We start from the raw sequence: 9,286 nt of genomic DNA, 5'->3' as shown, positions 1-9,286 counted from the left end.
TTGTCTCTACTTGCTAGGGCTGTCATTGGGTTGTTATACTGTATTGTTTAGGGAATGGTGACAGGAAAAAAGTCTGTACATGTTCAGCAGAGACATAGCCATCCACACTCCCTTTTCTGAATATTTTCCACCCACTGTTGGCTGAATCCACACATGCAGAGCCCACGGATACCAGGGCCAACTGTGCTTTGAGGGTAGGATGGGTGAGGTTACTAATGAGTACAGGGGAGCAGGTGTTAATGAGGAGGGCCCTGCATTGGGACATCTGGACCCCCTGTGTCTCAGGACTCGAGCCTGCAGGTTTGGATGGCGCAGGCAAACCCAGCCCAGGTCAAAGCCTTCCCCTTAAACCTTCTTTTTATCCCAAGCTCTTTCTGGTCTCCGGAACTCGGCATCCCCTAGGCCCTGGGTGGAAGGACAGGTGAGCCAGATTTCAGATCACATTTCTAGAAGAGTGAGCCCCTACAGGGTGCCAGGCACTTTCCCCACAGGACCCTCTACCTAGAATAACCAAGGGTCATGGAGAGAAACATATCATTAAAATATCAGAAATACAAAAAGGGATACCATTAAGAGTTCCTACAGATACTGAAAGGTTATTAGGTAATAGTATTAACATTTTTATTCTGATATTCAACAGCAACAGTAACTTCCCTCCACCCCTATGTGTATCCCAGGACCACCCTGGTTGGGGAGGGCTGAAGTTAGGGAGCACCCATGGATGCTCTGATGCTGGTCCTGGGCCTCGGGGGTAACAGTGATGAGGAACTGGGTGCAGACATGAGTGGGGCAGCCAGGCCTGGCCAGAGAAGCAACACACAGGTGCACAGATGTGTTTACCCACATACACATGTGCACACAAGTGCACACATTGCATGCAGGCATGTTGACGCCTCAGGCAGTGGAGGACGCTGACTCTGGGCTCTGATGACCCAGGCAAGGCCCCACTGTGATGTGTGCCATGACCTCAGAATGTCACTGGTGCTGAGCACCCGCTCGCCCTCCAGCCTGCCTCTGTGTTCCAGAGCAGTTGCACACGCACAGTGCTATCTGTGAGCAGTTCTGTGTTCATGAGAGTTTGCTACATGAGAGGCATAACTCAGCCCAGCCAATTCATCAGAATCAGGTGAGTGTGACATTCTCCCTTCCCTTCATGCTGACTTGGGGACAGTGGCTATGGGGTGGGTAGTGCTGGCCTCTGGGCAGCTGCCGAGGAGGGTCATCCCTGGGCACTCACCAGGTGCCTGTTCTGTGCTGCCCAGGCAGACGATACACATATGGGTGGAGGGAAGTGACTGCTGCTGTTGAATATCAGAATAAAAATGTTAATACTATTACCTAATGACCGTTTCAGTATCTGTAGGAACTCTTAATGGTATCTCTTTTTGTATTTCTGATCTTTTAATGATATGTTTCCTTCGTCCTCATGGTGGCTCCATAGGGTGGGTGCTGCTCCCAAATGTGCCCATTAGACAGGTGAGACATCTGGGGTCAGAGAGGCGGTAACTGGGTAACCCCAAGAATCCAGATGTGACCCTGGGTTGTGCTCTCACCCCTGCCCTGTGCCGTGCTGGACTTAAGTCCTGAACCCTGTGACCTCCCTGCCCTAAATCCCAAATGTGTCCAGGGTTCCAGATCCCAATGGGGCAGAGCTTGGCCCTGGCAGAGCTGCTGGGATGGATCCACTGTGGGTGGGGTGGAGGGGAGGGGCCTCAGAATACCTCTGTGCCCTAAGCTGGGTCCTGATGGTCTCTGTGGGACCCACTGGACACACACAGTTCCCTGTCTGGGAGTGGATGGGGAGCCTTCTGCCTTTGGGCAGTTGTGGAAAATGAAGGAGCCCTGGAGGGCTGCCTGGATGGAGACTATCTTCCCTCCTGTTCAAAGGGGTACAGGCACTGGCATTCTCTTCAAGTATTTCTTTCTCAGTTTGGTCCTCCAGAGGCCTCGCCTCCCTTTTGCCCCGAGTGGTCCCAGGAGGAATCGTTCATCTCGGTGTTCTCCAGGACCAAGAACCCAGAGTTCTCCTGTTCTTTCTCAGTGACCCGGGAAAATGAAGCCCCCCACACCCTGTATGGATAGCTCAGAATTGTGGAGTCCACCGTCCCTCCCCCAGCGTCATGGTTTCCACCAGCACAGAGGCTGCTTTGGAGACAATAGATCATTTTCTTCCCCCAAAGCAAACACCTTCCTGCTCAACTGGCATGATTCCTAAAGCGGCTTCACTGGTCAGACTGAAGGGCCATGGTAGCCCAAGTGATGAGTGGAGTAGAATTGGGAAGTCAGGAGATATCTTGTTGTCCATAGAAAACTGGGCAACTTTGTGGTTTCTGAGCGATCCCAAGAGGCTGATCATACAGAGACCTCTGGTCCCTGACCCCAGTCTGCCTCCTCATCTCTGGAATCACAGGCTCTTCACCCCCGGCAGGTGGACACCTTTCATTCTGTTGGGATAGATATGTTCCCATTTCATGGCATTTGGGGACAACGGGATTCTCTGTCCAGGTCCCACTATTCTCAAGTCCTTAGGAAGGAGGCACTCCTGCTTGGGGCCTGAGACTCCAGAGACCCGTGCAGGTGTGGGCCACTGTGTCTGGCCCCTTTTCACCTGGAGGTGGTGATGGAATGGGGGTCACACACCGCCAGCATCTGGGAGCCCGGCAGGAGTGGCTCAGGTGTTCTCCGAAGCTCTCGGGTACAGTGTCACCTTTGGACGATTTGTCTCATGGGATGGACATGGGAGAGAATGTGGATACCCTGCTGGCACAGGAATGAGGGGACATCATTACCAAGTATGAGCAGGTACAGTCAGTCTGCTCCCTGGACGGAGGCCTCTCCCAGTGCGCCCTGCTCAAAGGGTCCTGGGCTCCCCAGGAGCACAGGTGGTGACAAGTTGACAACACCCCCAGGCCCTTGCACCTTTTACCTTGGATGCCTCACCCTGGCTCCCTCTGGGTTTCAGGGATGTGGAACTGGGCTGCCAGCGGACATATAGCCTGGGCATGTTAACATCTACAAGATCTCTGATTGCCTTGGGATTCTGCAGTGAGTTCTCTGTGCTCCTCTCACCCTCTAAAGCACAAATCTCAGCTCAGGGATGGGTTTCGCTTTTAGAAAGGTCTTTCTGAGGCAGGATGTGTCTCCTTGGCTTGGGCCTACCTCTTTTCTAGGGTAGAACTCCTCCCGGGCTCCCCTGCAGGTCCAGCCTGTGATTGTTGTTAGGCCAGAGGTGCGTGGCTCATCTAGGGAGCGTGGTTGATCTAGGGAGCGTGGTTCATCTAGGGAGCGTGGCCCATCTAGGGAGCGTGGTTCATCTAGGGAGCGTGGCCCATCTAGGGAGCGTGGCCCATCTAGGGAGCATGGTTCATCTAGGGAGCGTGGCCCATCTAGGGAATGTGGTTAATCTAGGGAGCGTGGCCCATCTAGGGAGTGTGGCTCATCTAGGGAGCGTGGTTCATCTAGGGAGCATGGCCCATCTAGGGAGCGTGGCCCATCTAGGGAGCGTGGTTCATCTAGGGAGCGTGGCCCATCTAGGGAGCGTGGTTCATCTAGGGAGCATGGCCCATCTAGGGAGCGTGGCCCATCTAGGGAATGTGGTTCATCTAGGTAGCGTGGCTCATCTAGGGAGCGTGGTTCATCTAGGGAGTGTGGCTCATCTAGGGAGCGTGGCTCATCTAGGCAGTGTGGTTCATCTAGGGAGCGTGGCCCATCTAGGGAGCGTGGCTCATCTAGGGAGAGTGGTTCATCTAGGGAGCGTGGCCCATCTAGGGAGCGTGGCCCATCTAGGGAGCGTGGTTCATCTAGGGAGCGTGGCTCATCTAGGGAGCGTGGCTCATCTAGGCAGTGTGGTTCATCTAGGGAGCGTGGCTCATCTAGGGAGAGTGGTTCATCTAGGGAGCGTGGCCCATCTAGGGAGCGTGGCTCATCTAGGGAGAGTGGTTCATCTAGGGAGCGTGGCCCATCTAGGGAGCGTGGCCCATCTAGGGAGCGTGGTTCATCTAGGGAGCGTGGCTCATCTAGGGAGCGTGGCTCATCTAGGCAGTGTGGTTCATCTAAGGAGTGTGGCCCATCTGGGGAGTGTGGCCCATCTAGGGAGCGTGGCTCATCTAGGGAGAGTGGTTCATCTAGGGAGCGTGGCCCATCTAGGGAGCGTGGCCCATCTAGGGAGCGTGGTTCATCTAGGGAGCGTGGCCCATCTAGGGAGCATGGTTCATCTAGGGAGCATGGCCCATCTAGGGAATGTGGTTAATCTAGGGAGTGTGGCCCATCTAGGGAGTGTGGCTCATCTAGGGAGCGTGGTTCATCTAGGGAGCGTGGTTCATCTAGGGAGCGTGGCCCATCTAGGGAATGTGGTTCATCTAGGGAGCGTGGCCCATCTAGGGAGCGTGGTTCATCTAGGGAGCGTGGCCCATCTAGGGAGCGTGGTTCATCTAGGGAGCGTGGCCCATCTAGGGAGCGTGGTTCATCTAGGGAGCGTGGCCCATCTAGGGAGCGTGGTTCAGCTAGGGAGCGTGGCCCATCAAGGGAGCATGGTTCAGCTAGGGAGCGTGGCCCATCTAGGGAGCGTGGCCCATCTAGGGAGTGTGGTTCATCTAGGGAGTGTGGCCCATCTAGGGAATGTGGTTCATCTAGGGAGCGTGGCCCATCTAGGGAGCGTGGTTCATCTAGGGAGCGTGGCCCATCTAGGGAGCGTGGCCCATCTAGGGAGCGTGGTTCATCTAGGGAGCGTGGCCCATCTAGGGAGTGTGGTTCATCTAGGGAGCGTGGCCCATCTAGGGAATGTGGTTCATCTAGGGAGCGTGGCCCATCTAGGGAGGGTGGCTCATCTAGGGCGCGTGGTTCATCTAGGGAGCATGGCCCATCTAGGGAGCATGGCCCATCTAGGGAGCGTGGCCCATCTAGGGAGCATGGCCCATCTAGGGAGCGTGGCTCATCTAGGGAGCGTGGTTCATCTAGGGAGCGTGGCCCATCTAGGGAGCGTGGCCCATCTAGGGAGCGTGTTTCATCTAGGGAGCGTGGCCCATCTAGGGAGCGTGGTTCATCTAGGGAGTGTGGCTCATCTAGGGAATGTGGTTAATCTAGGGAGCATGGCCCATCTAGGGAGCGTGGCTCATCTAGGGAGCATGGTTCATCTAGGGAGCGTGGCCCATCTAGGGAACGTGGTTCATCTAGGGAGCATGGCCCATCTAGGGAGCGTGGCCCATCTAGGGAATGTGGTTCATCTAGGGAGCGTGGCTCATCTAGGGAGTGTGGTTCATCTAAGGAGCGTGGCCCATCTAGGGAGTGTGGTTCATCTAGGGAGCGTGGCCCATCTAGGGAATGTGGTTCATCTAGGGAGTGTGGCTCATCTAGGGAATGTGGTTAATCTAGGGAGCGTGGCCCATCTAGGGAGCGTGGCCCATCTAGGGAGTGTGGTTCATCTAGGGAGTGTTGCTCATCTAGGGAGCAGGTGGGAATGGAGAGGGGACTAGGTCAGGCCCCTGGGCTCTCAGCAGTTCTGTCTCCAAGTTAGCAGAAGAGGAGGCAGGCAGCTTGAGGGTCTGGCCCTGTCCACTTGGACACTATCCTAGTGAGATCCAAGGGTTGTGGCCACAGGGTGAGGGGGCACCTGGTCCAGCCTTGGGGCAGCTGTCCAGCAGGTCTCTGAGGGGCCCACCTGCCCTTCTTCTCCCCATTCCCCTAGGGCCAAAGCCCTCACTGTCCCCATGCCCTTCCGCATGGACCATGCCATGGTTCCCCCAAGGACCATGCCCTTCCCCATGGGGACAGTGAGGGCTGTGGGCCTAGGGGAATGGGGGAGAAGATGGGCAGGGTCCCCCATTCTAGGCATTCTGGCCAGGCGGGCAGCAGAGCTTGTGGCTAAAGGCCCTGGGTCTGGTACTGGGACGGTATCTGGGGCCAGATAAGAGAGCCCAGCCTGGAGCCAATCCCTCAGGGGTCACAGGATGGAAAGACAGAGGACCCTGGGGGAGGTGGGATGGGAATAAGCCCATGGGCTGTGCCACGTCGGAAATGCACCCCAATGGAGCTGATTGTCTGGGGAGGACAATAGATGGGGTGGGGCTGAAAACACCAGCTCACCTGGGACTTCTCAGCAGAGGGAGTCAGTCCATCCCCAAGATTCTACGTGGCTTTCCAGGGACTCTGCTTCCAGTTGGCTTGGACAGCACAGTGGGCAGAGGGTGATCGGGGGACTGACCTGGGGCAGGCAGGATAGTTGGGGAGAACGGCCAGGTGTCCCGAGTTCCATCTGCTGCAGTGTCTGGGAGGAGGCTGAGGGCTGACAGCCAATGGCTCCGAAAGCCAGGTGAGGCAGGAGGTGGGGCCAGGAGGCTGTCCTGGAAGCCTGTGGGGCCCTCGGTCACCCAGGCCACCCCTGGCATCTCTCGAGCAGGCAAGGCAGGCATGAGAACAGATCCGGGGAGTCTCACTCAGGGGTTCTGACAGGACCAGAGTCAAAGCAGACCCAGGGTGGCTGGAGAGACGTTCACAGTTTTTGGGTTGGACAGGATGGCGGAAATCAGGGAAAAAGCAGGGTGTGTGGCTCAGGTGCAGGGAGAGGCAGGTGGGCTCCAGGTGGTCAGACTCTGCGAGGACCTTGGGAGTGTCAGGTGGGATGGGCCCCGGGTGCACCAGGCAGGTCTCAGGCCAGGCACCCAAACCCCAGCAGGGTGATGCGGTCACTCCCTGAGAGACTCCCGTCCGGGCGTGGCCACCCACCCTGGGCAGCAGCAGTCCCATCTCAGAGCTGACGTTTCTGAGCTCCAGCAGAAAACACCACCTCCAGTCCAGGAGGGGCAGCCCCATTGTGCAGCCTGACCATCCCCCACACCAGGGGCCCCTCCTGGGAGTCTGCCCCACAGGGCCCTTGTCCTCCCTTCCCTGTGGCTTCTCCCGAGCTGAGACCTGGGATGGAAGGGGACAGAGCCAGTCCTTTCTGGGGGTGGACTCCTGGACCGGGATGGCTCCAGGCCCTGCGCAGGTCCTCAGCTCTGTCAGGTGCCTTCCAGTGAGACAGAGTTGCCCCCTGTCAATGCCCTGGAGGTGAAGGTAAGAGCCTGTCCCTGATGCTTGGGGAGCTGGTCCAGGGATGGGGACTCAGTGGGTGTTCGGTGAGGCAGAGGAGGCAGCGGGCCTGGGTGGTGGTGGGTGGGAGGGAGCAACATACTGTCACTGGGAGGGGCAGCTGTCCCTGCTGGACCTGACCCCAAGTCTCTGTTTCTCTGGCAGTTTGCCGAAATTTCAAAGTGAGAACAACAGTCGTGGCTTGGGGGTGGCTGCCCGCTTGTGTCAGGATACCACCTAGAGGCTGTGACCCGACCTAAGACTGGTGTGTCTGTGGCCTGAGGATGGCACGTCCCAGGGTCACAAGGCCAGCCCACTGGCGCTCATTTGCTCAGAGGGTCTCAGCCCCCAGGGTCTGCCCTTCCCTAGCTCCTTCCAGCTGGGTCCCACTAGAGCTCCAGAACCCAGGACCCAGCATCCGTGGGCCACTCCGGGAAGCATGGCGGCTCCACTAACTCCAACATTCCTCATTTGACAGCAAATGTGACAGGACATGAGACACATGGAAAAGTGGCTGAAGATGCTGGGAGAATGGCAGAAATATAGGATGAGCAAGAAGGTAATGTGGGGAGGGAGAGGCCTGCAGAACCACTGTCTGCAGAGTCAGGGGGACAGGCACCCTTGGCTGTGGGCTGGCACCATCTGCCTCTTAGAGAGCGGGTAGCACCCTGTCCTTACTCAGACGACAGCAGGCCTGGTCGCCAGCTTTGCTGCCCATTCGTGCGCTCGTCACCTTGCTGGGAGGGAATCTGATGCCAGGGCTGGGGCCACCGTAGATCAGGGCTAGGGAAGCCTCCTGGTGAAGGAACAGGTGTAGATCAGAGTTCAGACTCTGAGTGCTGACCCACTCTTTCAGCCCTGGGAGGAGAGACCCTGTCCCAGCTTGACCTCACCTGTATTGAGGAATCATGGGGCCAAAACCAGAGACTTCCAGAATCCTTGGGGTCTGGTCCTTGCTGAGGTCACCCTGTGGCCTGTGTCACCAGATCAGTTGTCTGCCAGAGTGTACAAAGGCATTCTCCTGAAGGTCTGGGGCTGGGTGTGGTCAGTCCTGCTAAACATTGAGGAAACCAAGCCTGAGAACCCTGGGAAATATGAGGTATACTCAGCCAGAGCACAACAAACAGGCCAGGCTGTGTCAGGAGCCCAGGTCTCCAGATGGAGGGAACATCGAGCCCAGCTTATCGGTGGGGCTGGGGTGGTCAGAAGCATATCCTGGGCAGACGGTGACATAGGCACCCCAAATGAGCTCAGCTCTGGTGACCCTCCCTGGCTTCAGAAACAAGCCAAAAAGCAGCTTTCTGCAGAAGGAAACCTTCCTTTTTTCCCTCCTTCCACGAGTGCTGACTGTGGGCTGACTGCCATCTGGGGCAGGGGTCCTTCCATCTGTTCTGAGGCTGCTTCCTCCTCCTGGCCATGCCCTACAGGTCATGAAAGAAAAGGGCAAGAGGTCCTCTGAACCTATCCACCAGATTGACCTGGAGGTGAGCCGGACACTGAGGAATCACATAATATTTAGGAAATGATATGGCATCAGGTAAGCCTATGGGGGCCACAGGGTCCCAGCAGAGATGAAGTGAACCAGAGGGATGGAGACTTCCCCAGAGCAAAAACCAGCTTCACCCAGGAGGGATGACGGAGCTGCCAAGGGCTCTCCTGGCCCAGGGAGGAGCCCGTACCATGCACTGAGGACCTCCCAGGTTCCAAGCTCTGGGCCAGGCTAGAACATGTGGGGCCAGAACCCAGAAGGATCCTGAGGAGACAGAAGGCAGCAAACAAAATCATGCACAATGGTGAAAAGTGCTCTCCCTGACCCATGGGACCCATGGTATGGACCCATGGGTGGGGGGCAGCAGGATGGAGGGCTGGTGAACCTCCTCTGGCAACACCGACAGCACCCAATGCTGGGGGGGGGGGGGACCTGGGGCCCCGGAGACTCCTCTGGCGACACCGACAGCACCCAATGCTGGGGGCGGGGGCATTCGGGGCCCCGGAGACTCTCATCCACAGCTGGTGGAAATGTGACATGACACAGCCACTTTGGAAGCCAGTTGGGCAGTCGCTCGCAAAGCTCAGTGGACTCAAACCACACATCCCCGAAGTGTCACAGACATTGAACCAACTGATTTGAAAACTGACATCCACACTGTAGAAAGTAAAAAGTTCCTTTTCAAAGTTTCCCTTCTTGTTAAAGAATAAATCATAAGTGTTAGAAATAACA

At 56.9% G+C, this 9,286-nt stretch overlaps 1 long non-coding RNA gene across 1 annotated transcript, besides 1 other annotated feature; it reads left to right on the top strand.

The window, feature by feature from the left end:
- Positions 1 to 1,035: 1,035 nt before the first annotated feature.
- Positions 1,036 to 9,284, top strand: LINC01743 (long intergenic non-protein coding RNA 1743). Its single transcript, NR_040002.1, has 3 exons — positions 1,036 to 1,126; positions 7,544 to 7,624; positions 8,493 to 9,284. It is a non-coding gene; the product is annotated as a long intergenic non-protein coding RNA 1743 (long non-coding RNA).
- Positions 8,498 to 8,678: a silencer, noted in NCBI's record as "fragment chr1:246679947-246680127 (GRCh37/hg19 assembly coordinates)". NCBI's record gives its function as "represses an EF-1alpha promoter that drives an FKBP-Casp9 reporter gene in an ReSE screen in phorbol 12-myristate 13-acetate-treated (for megakaryocytic differentiation) K562 erythroleukemia cells {active_cell/tissue: K562(+PMA)}" and the evidence as "EXISTENCE:reporter gene assay evidence [ECO:0000049][PMID:32094911]".
- Positions 9,285 to 9,286: the final 2 nt, after the last annotated feature.

Source organism: Homo sapiens, chromosome 1 (assembly GCF_000001405.40).
Source record: "Homo sapiens chromosome 1, GRCh38.p14 Primary Assembly".
Classification (NCBI taxonomy): Eukaryota; Metazoa; Chordata; class Mammalia; order Primates; family Hominidae; genus Homo; species Homo sapiens.
The sequence above is the reverse complement of the archived record's forward strand: the minus strand, read 5'-3'. Positions and strand labels throughout refer to the sequence as shown.